Here is a 24085-nt window from a genome sequence, read left to right on the forward strand (position 1 = left end):
TTAGAGAGGAAGTTGATTTTTTAAAAAAAGATAACGAAGAAGAAACTACATAGGAGAAGCACCAGAAGAGAAAGATAAAAATGAAGAAACTAAAAATAACATGGCTCAGAATGCTGCCTAATTTATCAAACTTGCCAACAGCAGCAGTTAGGGGTAGAAATATGTTCTTTAAGGGAAAAAACAGACAAAAGTTATCAAATAGTATTAGTCCTTAAAGAAACAATAAAAAACACAAATAATTGTCAATAATACAACTTTTTTTTTTTTTTTTGAGACAAGGTCCTGCTCTATCACCCAGACTGGAGTGTAGTGGTGTGATCTTGGCTCACTGCAACCTCTGCCTCCCAGGCTCAAGCGATCCTCCCACCTTAGCCTCCAGAGTACCTGGGACCACAGGCATGTGCCACCATGCCTGGCTAATTTTGTAACTTTTTGTAGAGGAGGTCTTATTATATTGCCCAGGCTGGTCTCCAGTGATCCTCCCGCCTCAGCCTCCTGAGTAGCTGGGACTGTGGGTGCATGCCACCATGCCTGGCTAATTTTTTAACTTTTTGCAGAAAGGAGGTCTCACTATATTGTCCAGGCTGGTCTCAAGTGATCCTCCCGCCTTGGCCTCCCAAAGTGCTGGGATTACAGGCATAAGCCACAACACCCAGGCCAATACGTCTTTATATTTCAATTATTTAAAACAGCCTAAGGACAATACTTGCATCCTAAATTTCCTCTTAAAACTCTCTGGCCACTTTGTACTCAAACACAATATATAAATGGTACATTTTACAACTTAATTCAAGACTTTACTTATTTATTTTGGCCAGGTCCTGTTTTCAGCACAGCGCTAAAGTTCCTTTTGCTGGGCATGCTGTGCCTTATATATTTTTCAAATCCAAGATTTTTCCCTTGACCATGACAGTAGAATAAAAAGCTCAAATTCAAGACAGATACTAATCTAGGACACCAACAATCGTTCCACTGAGGTGAGATTTTTAAAAATGCAGGAATAAAAATTCTATTATAACATTCACTTTATACATATTCTTCAATCTACATGATTACCTAAAAAGCAAATCATACATACATTCTTTATAATACATCAAGAGGAAATCTATGAGTTAAAATGGATATTTAGAAAAGAAAATAATTACCTTTGATGCAAGGTTGTCTACTAGAGCAATCATAGAATTCTTAAACAAGGTAGCAGCAGTCAGAGGTCGCTTGGTCACCTCTGTAATGCTCAGTTTGCCTTCAGGCCACATATTCTTGAGCACAGGATTTGAACTGAGAAGCACAGAAAAAACAATTCAAATGTCACATTCAAATAAGCTGGATAAAAACTGATAAGCAATTCTGCTGAAATGTATCCTGAGAATCATAATTGGACTACAGATTCAACTCACAAGGCCTAATTGGAATGATGATTCCATCCAGAAAATTATGCTACAAGAATAATGACTGATACTGCAATGCAAATTGAGATGTTTTTCCAAACTATAGCATATTTTAAAAATTATTTAAACTTCTTTAAAGTGACATCCTTATTATACCTACCTAGGACCCTCAAATGGTCAATATGGCTCTTACAATACATATATAAAACAAATTCATTTTTGTGATGGTTAGAAAATGAGGACAAACCACTAGTAGAAAAATGATCCTCAATGTCACAGCAGAAAACATAAAAGTGGCAATATCTTTGAATTAAAGCAAATAATTTATATATTAATAGAACAGGTAACACTACAGAAAGCCTGCTCTTTAAAAAAAAACACAGGTAGGAATATAAAATAACCATTTTTATATTGTCCCTCGTAAATCCCTTTACTGCAGTTCAAATTGTGAACAAATCTGTAGGTAGCATTGGCAGTTACAATATTTTATTGATGTGACATTAGGACTGTTGCAATCCAAATCTAAAAATGCATTTCAGGCCAATTTTCAGGTTAAAATTGTATATTCATAATTTTGCTCTGTGGAGATATTTTTAAAAACGTGTAGTGATCTCAACTGTCATTTTTTTTCTGGTTTCATTTTGGGTGCTTTTGATGTTAAAGCAGTTGGAACTCAAAATGTTGCTTGCTTCCTAGAAACTTTTATCAGAAAAAAACTTTTCTTAAAAAATTGGGGGTTGAGCAACCCAAATGTCCATCAATGATAGACTGGATTAAGAAAATGTGGCACATATACACCATGGAATACTATGCAGCCATAAAAAAGGATGAGTTCATGTCCTTTGTAGGAACATGGATGAAGCTGGAAACCATCATTCTTAGCAAACTATCGCAAGGACAAAAAACCAAACATCACATGTTCTCACTCATAGGTGGGAATTGAACAATGAGAACACTCGGACAGAGGAAGGGGAACGTCACACACCAAGGCCTGTCATGGGGTGGGGGGAGGGGGAGAGATAGCATTAGGAGATATACCTAATGTAAATGACGAGTTAATGGGTGCAGCACACCAACATGGCGCATGTATACATATGTAACAAACCTGCACGCTGTGCACATGTACCCTAGAACTAAAAGTATAATAAAAAAAAATTGGGGGTTGAGAAGAGAAAATAATTAACATTAGCATTCATTGCTAATTGCTCTTACTACTGCTAACATTTTACCCACTTTTTTTCCCTCATATAAAATTTTAAAAATTGAGTTGGATCCCCAAAGCACTCAGAATATTTCTGTATGTAGGTGCTCAAAATAATAGCTGCAAGATGAAAGAGCAGATGAGCGCAGAGCGAAGAAGACAAATGGTAATGTGTGGATTGACTGGGTCTGTGAACACAGACAGAGCAACACTCCCAGCCCCCACCATCACCAGCAAGCAGTGCCAACTACTGTCAAAGTGGCTACAAAATGCTGCAATAACCTGTGGCTTATGAACCCAGTTTCATTACTTTCTAGTCCTATTCCATAATTTTCCATTTGTACACTTATATCAAAATGACTACATAGATGTATATTGTTTTTCCTTAACTTTTTCATTCTTATCTTTAGCACAGAAATAATTTAAGGCAACGTTCTTAACTTACAGTGCACATGGTGCCTGAATGCCATTCTAACATTTACTGAATAGAATTTTCAGAAAGTAGAAAATTGCACTTTGTGTACTTTGAAAATTTCGACACATGTTAAAAGACTGTGTCTTTTAGTCACTGGTGTTTGGTCTATGCAGTTTCTACTCCAAATTCTTTGTCTACCTTACTCACTGTTGGCCATATTTGGAGACTATTCCTGTACTACACTGTAAAGGTTGGAAATGAAGGAAATAAGATAATACGTTAAATAGCAGAATTGATACAAAATGAATCCAAACAGTTGTAGGGAGTCATTTTAAAGAGAAAGAACTTTCAGGCCAAGTCATGACTGTAATATTTTTGTTTTTCTGAGACAGGGTCTCACTCTGTCACCTAGGCTGGAGTGCAGTGGTGAGATGATAGCTCACTGCAGCCTCGACCTTCCAGGCTCAAGTGATACTCCACTTCAGTCTCCCAAGTAGCTGGGACTACAGGCACGTGCCACCATGCCTGGCTAACTTTTTAATTTTTTGTAGAATGGTCTCCCTATGTTGTCCAGGCTGGTCTCAAACTCCTGGGCTCACGCGATTCTCCCACCTCAGCCTCCCAAAGTGCTGGGATTACAGGTGTCAGCCACCATGCCCAGCCTGAATGTAATATTAACAAAATAGTTTTCAACATATTTTAAATACCAGAACCCTTATCTTAGAAGGGAAGCTCCTCCAGAGACCCAGTATGTATAATAGGTAAGGCAGATCTCATCTGGCTAACAAGACAGCAGTAAAGAGTAAAAGTTTGTGCACTTGGAATGCAAAATGCTTGCTCCCTTCCTCCCTTCATTTACACAGACACACACAGACACAGACACACACATACATGCATGCATACATGTGTGTATATTATCAAGGTCTACAGAACTAGAATCCAAGGAACATTGCTTAAATATAATTATATTGCTGGGTGTAGTGGTGCATGCCTGTACCCCCAGTTACTGGGGAGGCAGAGTTGGGAGAATCACTTGAGCCCAGGAGTTCAGGGTTACAGTGAGCTATGATCACATCACTGTGCTCCAGGCTGGGCGACTGGGATACCACTTCTAAAAAAAAAAAAAAAAAGAAAAGAAAAATCATTATATTAACATATACAAAGAAAAAATGGATTCAAATTTTGGAAGGTTATTAGCCATGGAAGCATCAAATAGTGTCCAGAGATGAAGGTGGCTCATTCCAATACCATCTAGGAGGATGGTTTTATCCAAAAAAAAAAAAAGTCAAGACTTCCCATCTCACAGGCAAGGCCTTTCCTATTATGGAATATACACAATATGCTGCATTTAATAGACTTTCAATCTTTCACCCCTTTGGCAAAACTATTCCTATTGTGAAATGGATTCATCTTAGCCTGATGCCTTTATTTGTTGGGTTTATCTAAGTTCCTTTGTTCTGATTCTGTGCTTACCAGGCAACTAAGTATTCTGGATTCCATGGGTAATAATGAATCAGAGTTCTCACTGCTATTTGACTTCCCAAGCACGTTTTCCAACAGGGAAAAACAGCCTGTTACATGAACACAATTACAGTTGGCTCTCCATATCCATGGCTTCCACATTCAACATATACCATGGATAGAAAATATTTTTCACTTTGGGAGGCCAAGGTGGGCGGATCACGAGGTCAGGAGATCGAGACCATCCTGGCTAACACAGTGAAACCCCGTCTCTACTAAAAATACAAAAAAAATTAGCCGGGCGTGGTGGTGGGCGCCTGTAGTCCCAGCTACTCAGGAGGCTGAGGCAGGAGAATGGCATGAACCTGGGAGGCGGAGCTTGCAGTGAGCCGAGATCGCGCCACTGCACTACAGCCTGGGCGACAGAGTGAGACTCCGTCTCAAAAAAAAAAAAAAAAGTAAATTAAAAAAAAAATTTTTTTTAAAGATGTTTGTGCCTGTGCTAGACATGTACAGACTTTTTTGAGGGGTCATTATTCTCTAAACAATACAACAACTATTTACATAGCACTTACATTTCATTAGGTTTTGTAAGTAATCTAGACATGATTTAAAGTATCTGGGAGGAAGTGTGTAGGTTATATGTAAATACTACACCATTTTATATAAGGGACTTGAACATGTATGGATTTTGGTATCTTCAGTGGAGGAGGGTACCAGATGGAATTAATCCCCCATGGATACTTCGGGACAACTGTATTCCATTCCATGTTACTGTTAGATTTTCCACTAGAAATAAATCCACATGCTGTTTGGTTTCTACACTGGCCTGGAGAGCCTGGGCTATATTAGTTCACCACTGAAAGGTGAAGCTGTTCTCAGCAGCTGAACCTCTGGGCCATGGTACATTCACAAAGTTAACAAACATCACCTCGTGCAGCCTCTTGGTACAGAGACTGGCAACACACCCTGATGGTACTACTGGCCAAATAAGGCTGTTTTTTCTAAGTTGAGCTTTTAACATTTTCTGCACAGAGAAATGCTGGACTCTGTCATTTGTCCCTCAAAATGAATGTACCTTACCTGATAAATTAAGCATTGAAATTCCCTTCTGAAAGTCCCTTTTCCCCATGCCCAGTTCTTCCAAGGATCCTCTCTCACATTCCTGTCTCTGTAACTTTTTACTGATGATAGTGCCATCATTAATCTTGGTGGCTTCAACATCCATACAGATGAATCATTTGATAACAATTCTTGAAAGAACAGTTTAAACACAATGTCTCTATATTCTCATTTCCTGTATTCCCTTGAGCTCACATCAATGAGATATTTGTCTTCAATGCTACATGGAAACCAGTGTTGTCAAGAGTCCCACTGACCTTGGCATTAGCAAATCCAATGGTCAATCTTGGTCCTCTCATCCCTCCTGCTTTTGACAAGATTTGATGTAGTGTATCGTTTTTTTCTTCTTTAAACATTTTTTCTTGGCTTGGCCTCTGTGACACCAGATTCCTTGTTTACTTCCTTCCTCACTGGCATGCTCTCAGTTTCCTTTGCTAGTTCCTCTTTCCTTGTTTGTCTCTACATGTTACAGTGTCTCAGGAATTAGTCTTTTTAACCTCTTCTCTTTTTAAAACTACGCTCACTCCCTAGATACTCTCATCTAGTCTATGGCTTTAAATACAATCAATACACTGATGACTGTGAATTTATATCTCTAGCCCCACCTTTCCCCTGAGATTCAGATGCATAGTTGCAATTGCTGATTTGGCACTTTTAATTGGGTATCCAAAATGCACTTCAGACATAACATATCCAAAACAAAACTCTTAATTTCCCTGAACCAATTAGCGTTTCCTCTTGTCTTCTCCTATCAGGCTCAGGTATCACCTTTGATTTCCGTCTTCCTCTCACACCACACATTGTCTCTACCAGCAAATCTTGTCAACTCTACTTTCAAAATATCACCCAATCTGACCCCTTTTCATTATCTCCATCACTACCACCCAGGCCTCAGCCTGCATTATTATTATTATTATTGTTATTATTATTATTATTATTTTGAGACAGAGTCTCACTCTGTCGCCCAGGCTGGAGTGCAGTGGCGCGATCTCGGCTCACTGCAAGCTCCGCCTCCCAGGTTCATGCCATTCTCCTGCCTCAGCCTCCTGAGTAGCTGGGACTACAGACACTCACCGCCACACCCGGCTAATTTTTTCATATTTTTAGTAGAGACGGGGTTTCACCATGTTAGCCAGGATGGTTTCAATCTCCTGACCTTGTGATCTGCCCGCCTCAGGCTCCCAAAGTGCTGGGATTACAGGTGTGAGCCACTGCGACCAGCCTCAGCCTGCATTATTAAAATCGCCTCCTTTACTGTCTATTTCCATGCTTGTCCCTTACTGTGTGCATTTTACATAGTAGTAGCAGCAGTGATATCTTTAAAACATAAATCACATCACATCACATCATAAATTCCAACGCTTCCCTTCATACTTTCTTCTTATGTGGACTCAGGCTCTTTATGATCCAGGCTCTACCTACCTTTCTAAAGTCACTCTTTCCATCCCTCACTCTGTTTTCAGCCACAATGGCCTTGCTGTCAATACACTCAAGCTCATTCCCACCTTGTGGCCTTGGTACTAGCTTTTCTCTCTGCCTGGAATGCTCTTCCTCCAGCATGGCTCCCTCCTTCACTTAATTCAGGTCTCTGCTGAAATGTCACCTCTATAAGAGGCCTTTTCTGACTACCCTATCTATAATTCCTTCCCAGCCCCTCCTCATCTGTACCCTTCAATCTGTTACCTACTTTATTTTTCTGCACAGCACTTGTCACAAACTGAAAGTTGTTTCCTTGTTTATTAACTGTCACCTTTACTAGACTATAATCTCCATGAGGCCAGGGACTTTGCCTACATTTTTTCACAGCTGTATCCCAGAACATAGAAGAAAGTGTGCCTCAAAGGTACTCAATACATTTTTGATAATCTACTGAGCACTGACTAAGCAGACTTAACAAATGAGTGAATACAGTTCTTTAACCCATAGAAAGATGACCAGGAATCCTCTTTCTTCTTCATGGACCTTCTTTTTAAAGTATCCATACTGGATTTAAACTTGTTATCATTTGCCTAGTTTTATTTTGCCATAACTTTTCCACATTTTGTTGGTTTGTGAGAAGATTCTGTCTGCTCAGTCACTATCAGGGCTCACTGACACTAGATGCCACTCTGATATCAGAGCGGTCTCTTATTTGGGGGTGAAGACACTACAGTGGGAATCTGAGTATGCAAAACTTCTAGCTGGGCCAGATGTCACCTGACACTTCTTCATCACACTGGCCTGGCCTGAGGACTGCTGAGTATACTGGTAGGGGATGCTGGAAGGCTGGCAGCAGTGAGCACAGAAGCTGAGGCAACCCAAGGGAAATCAAAGCACATCATATTATTAGCAGGTCCCTGCCCAAAATTTATAGATTTTATCATCAAGTTAGTTATATGCTATTTATTAAGTCTGATAAAGCAGAACAAGAAAATGTGCCAGAAACTCTTAAAATTGCATATAAATATAACCATGTGCATATATTACATATGTCAATGAGCTTAATCTAGAGTTAATTAATAAAATTTCAATCTTACCTGTTATACATAAGGCGCTTGAAATCTTGAAATAAAGTATCTTTATTTTTGTCAATAAAACCAATGACAGAATAGCTAACAGGGAAAAATCACAGAAAACATGTATCATTTACCAAGCAAGAGCCACATTTAAGTTTTTCCAGGAGGCAACAAGCCTTTCCACCGTTAATTATGCAATCAATAATCTAAAAGCTGATATTGTTCATCTTGTTCTGTATTAAAGGATACCAAATTTACCTACTAAATAGAAGGGAATTTTCATCAGTACTATTATGATTAAGATGATAATTCCCTACTGGTTTATTGCTTACCTCAAGAAGATGACTTTTTAAAAGATAGCTGTATTTATCATCCAGCATTCCTAAGATAAAAGCAAAACAGCAACATACAGGAACTAACAGTCTCATCCGTAGGGAGGTCAAGTGACTTGCCTAAGGTTCACTCAGTGTTGAGGGTAGGATAAAAGATTCCAAGAAGAACTGCAAAGGATGGTAATAATTGGATAAGCAGAGGAGAAAAAGGCAGGCAGATCACACAGGGAAACAGATCAAATGGAGTGACGAAAGCAGGCACATGCATGGTGCTCTGGAGAGAGAATGAGGAGGCCAGTATAGATGGTTTGGAAGGGAGATGAGTAAGGTCTTGAAAGTCCAGCTAAGATTGCAGTTGGTGAGAAGAGTAGGAATAGAATTGTACTACTCCCAGTGACTGGCATGGACTCTAGGAGGAGTGAATTCATTTTTGGGGTTATAAAAGTAATTGACAACTCTGGGTGATTAAGACAGAGGCTAGGAGATTAAGCAAATAGGAACTTTAGACACAGCTACACCTTACAGTTCTGCTCTCGTGCCTGTTTTCTCTCTTGACAATCAGATCAGTATAAGCAATTCTCAGATCTCTAACCCGGATTCCTTGCCTTACATATTTAATCCTGCAAGAAAGTTCCTTCAGGCTGTGCTGCCCATGGGTACTTTAAGGTTACCATACCCAAAATTATTTCCTTGCCTGCCCCGACCTAGGTCTTCTTAATACTTTCAAGTCACTTTTGACTGAACCTTTGTGATTTGATCTCAAGCTACTCTTCCAGATAGTTCTACTTCTCTGTGCTACAAAAAAGGATACACTCCAATCAGATGGACCTAGTTGCTATTTCCTGAATATTTTGTAGCACCCTTCCCACTTCTTCCTATAAGAATAATTCCTAGCATTCAAAGACCAGCATCAGCCTTCCTGGGTTTATCACACAAACCTGGAAGTATTTCCTTACTCTAAATTCCAAATGAGTAATTGCTATTACTCATATGGCAATTATTTTAGACCACTGTTATTGTATACATGTATATAAATGTTTATGTGTATATATGCGTGTTTTCATGTGTAAAAATAAGAACACATACAACCATACATATATGTATATACGTATGTATCTTACATGGCAGCCAGCTCTTTGTGGGAAGAGACCATACCTTATGAAGTACTGAGCACATAGAAGATACTCAGTAAAAATCCAGAAAAGGATTGAAGAGTTTAAGAAGTGAAGAGGAAGTCTGAGGCATTGAATATCCCTCAAAAGGGTTAGTTGAAGTTCTAGACTAAGAGTCTAGAAACCTAGGTATTGTCTCAGTTCTTCTGTAAATTTGCTATGTGGCATTGCGTAAGAACTTTACTCATTCTGCATAAGTTTCTTCATCTGTAAAATGAAGTGGCTGGTCTAGGTCATCTCTAAGGCCTCTATCCAGCTCTGCATTTGCGTCATTCTGAGTGGTATGAAAGTACCCTGTAAGTGAGGCTTGGATTTTTAGTGGGAGATATTTGTATAGTACTGGATCTTCCCTCTTCAGTATTATGGAACCTGGGAACAGGACCAGAAAAAGTGGAAAATGGTGCCATTCCATCACTAATGGTTAGTTTGACAGATGGTGTGATAATTTTGAGCCATATTATTTTATGGTCCTAGAATTTTGATTTAAATCAGGAACAGCTATTAAAATTTCTTCAAACATCATTTCAGCATTTATAGAGAAGATCATTTACCTTTTTTTGTTTAATCTCTTCCTGCAATGGATTACATGTAAAGAATTCCTAATGTAAAAACTAAGAAAAAGAGTTCTTTAAACAATAAGATGAGGAGCAGTGTTCAGTGGACAGTAAAGGCATAATAAATATAGTAGGCTAAGAAATGCAGCCCCAACAAAAGTTTCATATCAAATTCCCTGGAACCTGGGAATGTTGCCTTATATCATAAAATATGTGATTAATGATCTTGAGAGGAGAAGCTCATCCTACATTATTCAGATGGGCTCTACATACCATATCAAATGTCACTTTAAAATAGAGGCAGAGCGGCCAGGCTCGGTGGCTCATGACTGTAATCCTAGCACTTTGGGAGGCCAAGGCGGGCAGATCAATTGAGGTCAGGAGTTCGAAACCAGCCTGGCCAACATGGTGAAACCCCGTCTCCACTAAAAATACAAAAATTAGCCAGGCGTGGTGGTATGCGCCTGTAATCCCAGCTACTCAGGAGGCTGAGACAGGAGACTTGCTTAGGCCTGGGAGGCGGAGGTTGCAGTGAGCTGAGATCGCACCACTGGACTCCAGCCTGGGTGACAGAGCGAGACTCCATCTCAAAAAAAAGGAAAAAAAAAAAGATAGACACAAAGGGACAGTTAACACAGACACACAAAGAGGAGGGCAATGTGACTGGAGTGATGCAGCTACAAGCCAAGGAATGTCCAGTGCTACTAGAAGCTGGAAAAAGGAACAGACTCCTCTCTACAGGAACCTCCAGAGAGAGTGTGGCCCTGCTGACATCTTGATTTTGAACTTTTGAACTCCAGAACTGTGAAAGAATAAGTTTTTGTTGACTTAAGCCACCGATTGTGGTTAATTTGTTACAGCAGCCCTTGGAACCTAATGTACTAAGGTAGTTATAATTTTTAGTTATACTTTCTGATCAATTTCTACTTTATTGTATTGTTAATAAAAATACGGCTAGTAAGAGTTTTACTTTTTAAAATAATATTTGGAAAATAATGTAGCAAAAATGGTTTTTGCTTATGCAGTTACCCAACTATTTGCAGATCTTCATGTACAGGAGTTATTCTCACCTAGGGGCCTTTTTATGCCTACTGTTTCTTCTACTTGGAAAGCTTTCTCTTTTCTCTCCCCTCTTCCTAATTCATTCCCCTGACTAACCCTCTTTTACTTTTAGGACTCAATTTGGATACCACTTCCTCCAGCAAGACCTCTCTATACCCCTCTCAGTGGGTTAATTATTCCTACCCACTGCTCCTATAATGCCTGTGCTTCTCTAGTTTAACTGTTTCCATTCTTCATTATAGTGACCTTTGATGGACGTACATGCCTATACTCTTCACTAAACTGTTGGTTCTTTAGGGCAAAGACCATCTTATCCATCTTTCTATCCCAGTTCTTAATATACTTCCATGATTTATTGACCCGCCAGCTGATTCTTACTGAACACGAACTATGCCAGGAACTGTACGAAATGTACATGGGCAAGTAGTGTGTGCTCAATAAATGGTTGAAAAGCAAGGAATGAATGAAGCTATGCCATTTTTAAGTTGAACAAATTAAAATATATTGACATATCAAATGACCAAAACATGCAAATGAATATAAAACCAATTTACATTTTTCCTGGTTGTATTTTCTAAAGTGAGGCGGCATGCAAATCATGGTAGGTACCAAGGTAAGATACTCACACTACATCGCCTGCATAATGTCGAATTCGAAAATCTCGATCAAACTCCAGAATTTTGTCTGAGGCACAGAGCTAAGGAATCAAGAAGGATATTATTTTGAAAACAGACATTTTTGCTTTCCTAAAAATATATTCCAGCTTAATATGAAATGATGATAATATCACAAATTATGACATCACATTGTGTGGGGCTTGATTTAAAAATATGGCTTATGTATTATAAAGACTAAACTTTCACTAGAAATCCACACAGCTAGACTACATTTCCTGACCACTCTTACAGCTGGATATGGCCAAGTAACCAAGTTCTGGACAATGGAGGTAAAGTGTGGCTGTTCTAGGCCCAAACTGGTGAAAAGTGAATGATTCCCCTCTGTGCTTTCTTCTCTCCCCCAACTAGTTGGATGCAGAGGGTAGTCCCTAAGGCATGGAATAGTCAGAAGATAGAGGAAGTTTGGGTCCCTGAGAGAGACACAGACTTCTACTATCTTATGACACTTTAATCTTGGCTACAGGCTAGGCATGGTGGCTCAGGCCTGTAATCCCAGCACTTTGGGAGGCTGAGGCAGGCAGATTGCTTGAGACCAGTAGTTCAAGACCAGCCTGGGCAACATGGTGAAACCCCGTCTCTACTAAAAATACAAAAATTAGGCGTGGTGGTATGCATCTGTAGTCCCACCTAGTCGGGAGGCTGAGATGGGAGAATCACCTGACCATGGAAGGCAGAGACTGCAGTGAGCCAAGATTGGGCCACTGTACTCCAGCCTGGGCAATACAGCGAGACCCTGTCTCAAAAACCAAACCAAACCAAACAAAATTTAGCTACTATCTTCATGCAGTCCAGCCTACCCTGACTGATAGAGTTTCTTTCTCCTCCTTAAGGAGGACCATACTGAAGGAGGACTTAAGGAGGACCATACTGAAGGCTTACTAGTTGTTAGGCATACACATCTTATTCAGTCTTCAATGCTGACATATAAGGTACAACAATCTCTCTGTTACACACATGGAAACTGAGGTTCAAAGAGGTTAAGCAATTGGCCCAAGATCACATAGCTAGTAAGTGGTACCCCTGGAAAGGACTCCTGGAATCGAATGTAACATCTGTGCTCTCTTATGTACATGGAGGCCTGGCTCATCTGTCTGCTAAGCTGAGACTCCAGTTCAGGACTATCATTTCACAGAAGATAAAGCTTCTGCAGCTCCTTTTCTCCCTGAAGAGGAATAGTTTATGGGAAGGCAGTTTTTATATGGCTGTGGAGGTCTCTATGACTTTCTACAATCTTCCTTGTTACAGTAGCATCTAGACTTCTTTGTCTGCCCTGTTAAGAATCACTTGGAATCTTATAGTTTCTTAAGCAGACATCTAGGAGAGTCCACAAAAGTTTCCCTGGGGAGGCCAGGCGTGGTGGCTCACGTCTGTAATCCCAGCACTTTGGGAAGCTGAGGCGGGCGGATTCCGAGGTCAGGAGATTGAGACCATCCTGGCTAACACAGTGAAACCCTGTCTCTATGAAAAAAATACAAAAAATTAGCCGGGCGTGGTGGCAGACGCCTGTAGTCCCAGCTACTCGGGAGGCTGAGGCGGGAGAATAGCATGAACCTGGGAGGCAGAGCTTGTAGTGAGCCGAGATCATGCCACTGCACTCCAGCCTGGGCGACAAGAGCAAGACTCTGTCTCAATAAATAAATAAATAAATAAATAAATTTTCCTAGGGAAATATACAAAAACCACTTAGGTTCTAATGTTCGATAACAAATAATCTCAACCTGAAAGGTGTATTCTATTAATTTGACAAGTGAATAATTACAGGAAATTAGAGTCAGACCTCCACGGTTCAAATCTTGCCTCTACCATCTACTCACTCTGACTTCTTTAATAATTACTTATCTCAGAGAGTTGTTCTGAGGATTAAATGAACTATTGAGAACAAAGCATCTACCATACAGAGAGGTCTCCAAAATACTTAGTTCCCCTTTTCTGCTCTCTCTCTTATTAACCCCTTTTACAAACTGTTTTATTTATAAAACCCCTTAAGGAAAAGGACCCAAGAGATGTCTACACTAATGGAACATTCTTACATTTGGATACTGCAAAGTTGCAACTGATCTGAACACAGGAGGTTTTAGATTTTTCTTTATTTTTTTTGGTAATAGCAGTTATGTATTTATCATTTAACTTTTTATATTAATAATTTAAATAATAATTTTATGCTTTATTGGATTATTTGCCTGTCTCTCCATGGTAACTTTAATACGGAAGAAGCAATGTAGTCCCTAAATGAAATAACTGTCACAAGACAGAAACCTCTAATTTAACATGCCAATAAGTCTAGCTAATCAGTAACCCGTAGCAAATGATGATATCCAGCTCAACACACAGAATAGCATGTGTAATAAACAGTTCACAGTGATTAAAATATTTTGATAGTTTGATCATTTCTTTTCTTCATTAGGTAAAAATCCCAAAGAAGAAGACATTTAAAAAATCTCTATCTCAAAGAAATAAAAGGTATTCAAACTGGAAAACAGAAGTCAAATAATTCCTGTTCACTGATAACATGATCTAATACCTAGAAAACCCTAAAGACTTCCAAAAGACTCCTAGACTTGATAAGCAACTTCAGTAAAGTTTCAGGATATAAAATCAATGTACAAAAATAAATAAGCATTTCTATACACGACTGATAACACTGAAGCTAAGAACCAAATCAAGAACTCAATCCCATTTACAATATCCACAAACACTCACACAAAAGAAAACCCTAGGAATATATTTAAACAGGGAAGTGAAAGATCTCTACAAGGAGAACTACAAAACACTGACAAAAGAAGTCATAGATGACACAAAAAAATGAAAAAACATACAATGCTCATGGATTGGAAGAATTAATGTCATTAAAATGCCCATACTGACCAAAGCAATCTAAAAATTCAATGCATTTCCTATCAAATTACCAATGTCATTTTTCACAGAATTAGAAAAACAATCCTAAAGTTCATATAGAACCAAAAAACAGCCCAAATAGCCAAAGCAATTCTAAGCAAAAAGAACAAAACCAGAGGCATCACATTACCCTGTCTTCAAAATTATACTACAAGGCTATTGTAACCAAGACAGCATGGCACTGTTACAAAAATAGACATATAGATCAATGGGACACAACAGAGAGCCCAGAAATAAAGCTGTATACCTACAATCAACTGATCTTTGACAAAGTTGACAAAAATAAACAATGGAGAAAGCATACGCTATTCACTAAGTGGTACTGGGAAAAATAGCTAGCCATATACAGCAGAATGAAATTGGACCCCTGTCTCTCACCATACCCAAAAACTAACTTAAGATGAATTCAAGACTTAAATATAAAACCTGAAGCTATAAAAATCCTAGAAGAAAACCTAGGAAAAACTCTTCTGGACATTGGCCTAGGCAAAGAATTTATGACCAAGACCTCAAAAACAAATGTGACAAAAACAAATGAGACTTAATTAAACTAAAAAGGTTCTGCCCAGCAAAAGAAATAACCAACAGAGTAAACAAACAACCTACACAATCAGAGAAAATATCTGTAAATTATGCCTCCAACAAAGAACTAATATTCAGAATCTACAAGGAACTCAAATAACTAAATAACAAAAAAATCACATAACCCCATTAAAAAGTAGGCAAAGAACATGAACAGGTATTTTTCAAAAGAAGAAATACAAACAGCCAACAAACATTTGAAAAAATGTTCAACATCACTAATCATCAGAGAAATATAAATTGAAACCACAATAAGATATCGTCTTATACCAGTCAGAATGGCTATTACTAAAAATGTCAAAAACAGATGGCATGGATGTGGAGAAAAGGAAATGCTTATACATTGTTGGTGGGAATGTAAATTAATACAACTTCTATGGGAAACAGTATGGAGACTTCTCAAAGAATGTAAACATTTCTTTTAAATGGTAGTTCTAAAAATAGAACTACCATTTGATCTAGCAATTCCACTACCAGGTATAACGAAAAGATATTTGTACTCGTATGTTTACCATAACATTATTCACAATAGCAAAGTCATGGAAACAATCAATCTAAGTGTCTATCGACAAATGATTGGATAGAAAGAAAATGTGATATACATATATATAATGGAATACTATGCAGCCATAAAAAAGAATGAAACCATGTCCTTTGCAGCAACAGGGGTAGAGCTGGAGGCCATTATACTAGGTGAAATAATGTACATTTTCGCTTGTAAGTGGTAGCTAAACAATGCATATGCATGAACACAAAGATGGAAATAAGACACTGGGGACTCCAAAAGCAGGGGGTGAGAGTTGAAAAATTACATATTGGGTACAATGTTCACTATCTGGGTGATAGGTAAGCTAGAGGCCCAAAGTTTACCTTTATGCAATATATCCACGTAACAAACCTGAACATGTACACCTCCCAGATCTAAAATAATAAAAATAAATAAATAAACAAATAAATAATCACTACCTCAGCACTTGTCTTAGGGATACCAAAAGAAAGAGCCACTTGGTCTGAAAGTTGGGAAACCTGGGCTCCCATAAATTTGAAAAAGAAAAAGAAAATCCTCTCCACAGACAAATTACTATTTAGCATTTCATGTCAAATCAGTAGCAAATACTGATGTGGTATGTACAGTTACTCTTACAAATGACATGGCTGGGCGTGGTGGCTCATGCCTGTAATCCCAGCACTTGTGGAGACCCATGTGGGCAGATGAACTGAGGTCAGGAGTTCAAGACCATCCTGGCCAACATGGTGAAACTCCGTCTCTACAAAAACACAAAAATTAGCTGGGCATGATGGCAGGTGCCTGTAATCCCAGCTACTTGGGAGGCTGAGGCAGGAGAATTGCTTGAACTCGGGAGGCGGAGGTTGCAGTGAGCCAAGATTGCACCATGCACTCTAGCCTGGGCAACAGAGTGAGACTCCATCTCAAAAGAAAAAAAAAAAAAAGGAATGATATTATATTTCAAAATATTTGGTTGACACATTTAATTCAGGTATATAAATGGCCAAGGTAGAAGATATCAAAATGAGGTGGATTTGATTTCTCATGTGAGACTCATAGCTAATTTAAATGAAAATTTAAATAAGATTTATTTGACATGATTGGGAACAATTCAATTCAACTTTACAAACACTGATTAAATGTCTACCATCTGGTAGGCACCGTGCTAAGTGAGTCTCCAAACCTGAACTGTGATTATAAAGGGCATTTATAAACTTTCCCTCAAAGATAGGACATTTGCCCATGTAATCATGCCATCTTTAAAAGCATCACTCTAAATTATTTAGGTGACTTCTAACTTTGCCCAGTACTCTGTCCCCAGCACCTAGGATTGCACCTGGAAGATGAGAAGCACTTATTAGGTATTTGTGGTGTAAATAGGGAATGACTGAAGCAGTACCTCTAACCCAAAACCCTAACATGAAAGAGCAGACTGTAGTATCTGAAAGCCAATTTGTAGTAGGGTTACTATCAATCCTCAGTAACAGACCAAGGAGAATATTTTAGAAAAAACTGGCCTAAAATAAATGTCAGCTAGTAATCTATTTCTTGACGATTTGGGCTTTAGCTAGTTAATTGTGGAATTTCTCTGTTCTGATTACATAATTTCAAAGGAGATAAGTTAGAAAATAGACTTTATTCACACTAAAAAATGGCAGTGTCAGAGATTTACATGGAACTCTGGAGAGGCAGAAATGTTTGCCCCCTTTTTCTATGGATGTGAAGGAGCAAGGGCCTGTTTTCCCTTTAGCATATGGTTACTAGACAAGACTATGGGTAGGGAAGTCTCAGGGGCGATGATGATGTGTTCCTCTTCTAACACAAATTTCTTGAACAAATATTAATAGCAAACATATTCCATGCAAATGGAATATTCCATGCAAATGATATGTCCATATCAGCACAAAGGTCTGATAAGCACAATTGTCACCAATTACTACAGATATGTGATCTGTTTATCACTTTTTTAGATCCTGAAAAATGGAGAGTTAAAAGGATACCCATTTATTTAATGAATAAGTTTCTCTGTAATAACTAGAATTACAACTAGAATCTCTCTGTTTTCAAGGAAGTCATATGATCTGAAGAAGTACAGCAGAGTGCACAACACATTTTGTTACTGAGGATTACAGTAAAAAGTCAAGGACAAAAGCTATTTTCCATGCCAGAATTATCAGATGCAGGAGTAAAATTCTAGCACATGAGCAAGGACTCTACATCTATTGGTTACAAATGACATCATGCTTTCTAAAGAATCATGCTCATTTTTCCTGTTTCTACCAAATTGCATAGTCTGGAGCTCCCTCTCCTGGATTAACATGATTTTATCAATTTCTTCATACTATAAACCAGAGAGGCAGAATTTATCCACAGCAACAAATCATTTAATGAATGTTTATGACTTTTCTTTCTTATTAAAGGGGACATTCTTTTATCCCAACATATAAAGTCGTTGAACTCCATCAAACAATAAGGAGAACCTCACAGATAAAAGGAAGAAGGTGTCATTAAACACATTACCTTTCGGCTGGAAAAATGGGCGTGTTTGCCCAATTTACTGTTAAGTGCTTCAAGAAACATTTCATCGGTGACTTTGCCGACATTCATGCAAGCATCATCAAGGATTGCAATGATCCCTTTGTGCTGTTGCTCCACGAGGTCAACAATGATCTGATTGTTGAAGTAGTCAATCTGTAGGACACAGCAAGGAGGGAATTCTGAAGAGAACAGTGACCAGGCCAGGTTAAACCCTGATGCTCCCATTTGTATCAGGAGTTCAGGTAAAACTACTTTGGTGTCAAATGTGTGAATAACATTAAAGAGGTCTTACGCTAAAAAGAGTACACATTCTAACAGAGGTTTATTTTTAAATTTCTTTGTTAACTTTCTATCATGAAATACACCGTCTGAGATTAGTACAGCCCAAGGCAAAGATAATAAGGTAGACACCATTTCTCCCATTACAAACTCATTTTAATCCTGCCTCCAGATCCCACACCCAACCCTACTCCTTCATACCAATCTGCCTGCCATTAACTGTAAGGTCCACCTTCCACAAAGGGCCAACAAATAACCTTAAAGTATTATCTGATATACTACTTCATAATAAAGTTAAGGTACTACACAAAACTTGCAATTTTATAAAAGTAGGGTACAAGTTAAATGTTTAGTTCTAGAAATTTTGTGCAATATGTTCATAACGATGGCTGCAGTTGCCACAAAGTGCCTCGTTTACCTTTAAATACTGTTAATGTGTCACGCATGCAGATGGAAGGGGTGGAACTGTGCACTAAAGTGGGGGCTTTAACTGTAGTGTTTGGCAGAGTTGCCTTCTACCTGCCAGTTCAAAAGTTCTGTTTTCATGCAGAATATATATACTAAAAAATTTCAGTCTTTTAAACAGCCTTACTCTGATTCAGCCTCTTCAGATACTCTTGTGCTGTGCAGTAGTGGCTCTATGTGTAAATGCCATGCACTGAGGGTACACAAAAATATCAACATTATGTGTACAGGATAATGCCTCATCCCAATCAGATGTCCATTTGTCATTGTGTTTGTTAACAACCCTTTATCTCTTAGTGTTAAATAAACTCCACTTAAAACGGAAAAAAAAAAAAAAGAACTTGCATTTTTAGTTACATGACCCTGAATGACTAAAATCCAAAAGAGCATTTCTTTTGGTTTCCCCAAAGTTAAAAAGCTTCAATAGAATTTTGAACAATTTGAAAAAATTCAGTAGAATTTTTACATTTTTCTAGGCATAATATAAAGAATTTAATTCTGAGAAATAAATATCTATAAAAGATAAGAAAAAGCTTTTCCTTTACTTCCACAAGGTGAATGAAGTTATAAATAACTTCTGGCTTTTCAGCAACTATACATGTACAAGGTTTGTCCAACAATCCTCTGCCACACCTGTTTATTCTGACAGCCTGCAATGTACCTATCACTACACACAGAAGGCACACAAAGAAAGGCCAACTCAGGCAAGCTGCACATCTCAAAGAGGGGCAGCTTATGATCACACAGTTTAATCTTGCTATGTCCCATCTTACGCAGGAGTTACCTAAACTGATTGCTGTCTCCATTACCTTCTATAAGGTCTATATACTCATAATAGACCATTCAAGTGACTCATGTATTCCCATTTCATGCTTTAAAATCCAAGGTTTTATGCCAGTTATTTGTACATGGCTTTTAGCTCCATTTCTAGTCTTGCATGTTCTCTTCTGTATCTTATGGACTGAAACCTGTAAACTGGGTAGTTTTTACTTTGTTTTTTATACTTTTCTGATCTGTCTAAACTAAAGTTTCTCAAATAGGGGAATAGGGGGAATTTTGCTCACCAGGGGACATTTGGCAATATCAGGAGACATTTCTAGTCAAAATGGGGTAGGGGTGCTACTGTCATTTGGTGGGTAGAGGCCAGGGGTGCTGCTAAACATCCTACAATGCATAGAACAGCCTCCACAACAAAGAACTATCTGGCACAAAATCTCAGTAGTACTGAGGTGAAGCAGTGTAGGTCTAAATATTTACTTTCATTATGGGCATTTATTACATTTCTAATTAGGGAGAAAAGTTATTTCCATCTTTGGAAAAAAAATCCTAAAAATACTCAAAAAGCAGGAGCTCTATATTAATAGTTGACATCTTAGACTTCGGGACTGTGAAATTAAAGACGAAGTCTTTTGTCCCAGGGACTAAAGAATTACCTTCCCTAAAATCCCAATTATATTATTAAAAGCTATTGGTCTCTGCTAGTAACTTTCAGTTTGTAAGTTTAATACTGCTTCAAACATTGCTTAAACCAGTAGTTTTCAAACTAAGTTCTTCCAGCAACTTGGCATTCCCGTAAGGTTTCCTAAGGGATACCAGGAGCCAGAAGACTTGTGATGGGGTAGCTTAGGGACATGGGGCTCTGGCCTTTCATACCCACTCCAGATAAAACAGCTTTGTGCTTGAGTATCAAGTTCTCAATAGTTAAAATGATTTGCAAACTACAGCATCGAAAGCTTTTAAAAGTGAATGTACCAGATAACCAGACATTATGAACCTCCTGGTGGAAGTTCACACACAGTCTATGAAATGGGCTGTGGAAAAAAACTGACTCTGAATCCAGTCAAGACTCTAGATCTAACAACCAATATACAGGACATACAAGAAACAGAGAAACATATTAAATGGCACCTGAGGAATGCAATTAGCAAAATCCAGACTGTGGGGAACTCCATAACAAATGACTCATTCTCTTCAACACAAGATTGCAAAGAGAGATCATTCAAGGAAAAAAAGAAACATGGAGAAAATCTATAGATATGCAAGAGACCTATCAATCAATCATAATGTAAGAAACTTATTTGGATCCAAATTTAACCTGCAAAACAACAACCAGAAGACAATTAAGGAAATATGAAACATGTATACTGACTGGATATTTTATGATATTAAGGAATTTTTGTTAATGTTTTAGGTATGATAATGGCATTGTGATTATGGTTTTTGTAAAACTCTCTTAGAGAAATACATGGAAATATTTACTGAATAGATACCCAATTGAATAGATGAAATAATGTGATATCTGAAATTTGCTTCAAAATAATCTGGGAGTAGGTGGGTATAGTACAGATGGCATAAGACTGGCAATCAACTGGTACGTGTTAAAGCCAGGTGATGGGTATATAGGGTTTACTGTACTATAGTCTGTCTTCTTAATGTGTGTTTAAAATTTTCCATAATAAAAAATCTTTTAAAAAGAATCACTATGTTTAGAAGTTTGGGGTTTTACCCAGAATAGAGATTCTAATTGTGGGGGGATCTGCCATGTAGTAAGTAACTGTTACCTTGGAGTTAGCCTTCTGCTCCCTCTAGGACAAATAGTTCTTGGTTTATTTAGCGAAAATTTTTTGCATTTTGGGATTCTTAATTCTTTTTGAGATGTTTGGAACAGTCCACTGCATTACTTACCCTGTTGTCAATTATGTCTGTGAAATTTGATATTCTGATTGTGAAAGGATATTTTTGACTAGTACCTTGGAATCACATTTGAATAACAAGTTTTATGATTAAATTTGGTATTAAAAATCCAAGCTTCAGTTATACCGTGTATTATATTATACAACAGTTTCATTCTTAGAAAGCTTCATATACACTTAATTGAACTGAATTAAATTTTAATTGTATTAGGAGAGTTCATTATTTAAGTCAAACTATAGATAATTCTTATATAAAATAGCCCTTTGGTTTATATGCAGATAGGTAAAATTTATGCCAATATACCTGAGCAACTGTTTTATGGTATTCTAACGTTTAACACATGATGGAAGGCAGATACAATTTTGAGGCGGGAAAGCTATTTGTTATATCACTGTCTCTTTATTTCAGAATGAGAGGAAATAGAAAATAGGTAGGAAGGAAGATAAAAGTCATTTAAATATAGTATTTCAAATATTTTTTTGCTGCTATTATATTGGATAACAAAAAACAAATACTGGCTTCATTTCTATTCTCTGGCAAGAGGATGAACAATCATATAAACTCAAACTACAGAAACTTAAAAGTTTTTGTATTTTTCAAGTTTATTCTCAAAATTGCTTAAAAATACAAACTTACAAGAAAAATTACTATGTCTCATTTCTATCATAAACAGAAGGTCTTATCACAGGAAATTTAAAAACCAAACAAGTCATGCCTTTTAGCTTTGATCTCTGTGGTTTGCACTGTGCACCCATTATACTTTCCAGCTATATCTTACCAGATTAGTTTGCCTCTGACAAATACAAAAGTTCCCAAAGATTGATTAGAGTAGAGGTGATAATTGAAGTGTAATACACAAGAAAATGCAAAGTAAAACAAGTATTTTAATGTGTAGGTTTCAGAGAATATAAACAACATTAACTGAAGACAATAAAATACCATATAGTCTACAAAGTAGAAGAGGAGAAAAAGGAGGAAAAAGGGAAGAAGAAACTAGATTCTGAAGCAAAGTTCAGCCAATTTAAGGTATAACTTAATAAAGTATGCTAAACCTAACAGACAGATATAAACCAGTAAGTCCACGTGGTAGCAGCCATAAAGTGAAAACAGGTTTACTGGTTCTAACTCAGGATGTTCTGGGCATCAACAAGGCAGTCTATCAAATTATAGCAATCCCACCTAAAAATGATGAAATTAATTGTATTTACATATCCCAAAAAGGAAAGCTAAGGTTCAGATGTTTCAAATACCCCCAAAAGATCAAGAAATACCTAAAATAAAATTTGACATTATCAATAATATGAGAAACACATGAAGGCATTTTCCATAAGAGTCCACTCACATGTTTCCAGGGGATCCCTTCCCGCTGGTATTCCTCTTGTTCTTGCTTCAGAACCAGCTGAATAAATAGCTGCTGCAGTTTCTCATTGCAGTAATTGATACAGAATTGTTCAAAACTACAAGAAAAGGAATAAATTAAGTTTCAACAAATAGAAAACAGGCAACAAGGTTTTAAGTATCTTTTCCAGTTTACCTGTTGTTGTCAAAGATTTCAAAGCCATAGATATCCAAGACACCAATAACAGTGTTTTTCCCATGGATTGTGGTGTCATAGTTCTTGACCTCAATAATATCATTGATGCGAGTAACGATCCAACAAAAAAGGCGCTCATATATTGCCTGCAAGGAAAATAGCATCATAAATGCTTGCCAATTTGGGAATGAGTCCTCTGTTTGGATTTGTGATCAGTTTTAAATTCCTGTCCACCTTCTCACTGTTTAGCATAGCCATTACTGGCCTCAGCAGAACAAATGAAAATGTAGACTGTCCATTTAAAAAAACCCAAACTACCTGATGTATGCAAAACTAAAGTAAATAGCTTGTATTTTTAAAAGATTATTACCGGTCATTATACCAATTCCAACGACACTCTCCAGGCATGTTTCCCTGCCCGGCTATATCAATAGTTTGCCTGATCCCTTGAATAAGCCAGTTCATTGCTTTATTATTAATTTCATCAACTATAAAGAGTTGAGAGCTAGTGAGTTAATATCTATGATCCACTAAAGCTATATGAATTCTAAAAAATATAAATATTGATTTCTAATGCTAAATGAAGATCTGAGCCAAAGATCAAGGGTTGAAATTCCCTGAGAATCGAACACACATCCAATGCACAAGAACACACACACTAAGCCACACATGGACAAAGGTGCCACACGCTAACACACATTCACATCCCGA

The 24085-nt window shown here is 37.7% G+C and overlaps 1 protein-coding gene across 6 annotated transcripts in view; it reads right to left on the reverse strand.

The window, feature by feature from the left end:
• MYO1D (myosin ID) overlaps positions 1-24085 on the reverse strand; it is a 384603-nt gene that overhangs the window by 244586 nt on the left and 115932 nt on the right. For 5 of the 6 annotated variants that reach the window (XR_001752521.3, NM_015194.3, NM_001411088.1 and 2 more), the window contains 6 exons: positions 23375-23520; positions 23183-23297; positions 18385-18555; positions 11829-11899; positions 8104-8178; positions 1146-1278 (listed from right to left, as the gene is read on the reverse strand). Coding sequence is in view for 5 of the 6 variants with exons in the window: in NM_015194.3 (NP_056009.1) it covers positions 1146-1278; positions 8104-8178; positions 11829-11899; positions 18385-18555; positions 23183-23297; positions 23375-23520 (711 nt within the window). In the remaining variant the exon portion in view is untranslated. Of the gene's footprint in view, positions 1-1145; positions 1279-8103; positions 8179-11828; positions 11900-18384; positions 18556-22704; positions 23020-23182; positions 23298-23374; positions 23521-24085 lie in introns of those variants that run through there. The other variant, NM_001303280.2, reaches the window with a different exon arrangement.

The sequence above is a fragment of the Homo sapiens genome, chromosome 17 (assembly GCF_000001405.40).
Source record: "Homo sapiens chromosome 17, GRCh38.p14 Primary Assembly".
NCBI classification, from domain to species: Eukaryota; Metazoa; Chordata; class Mammalia; order Primates; family Hominidae; genus Homo; species Homo sapiens.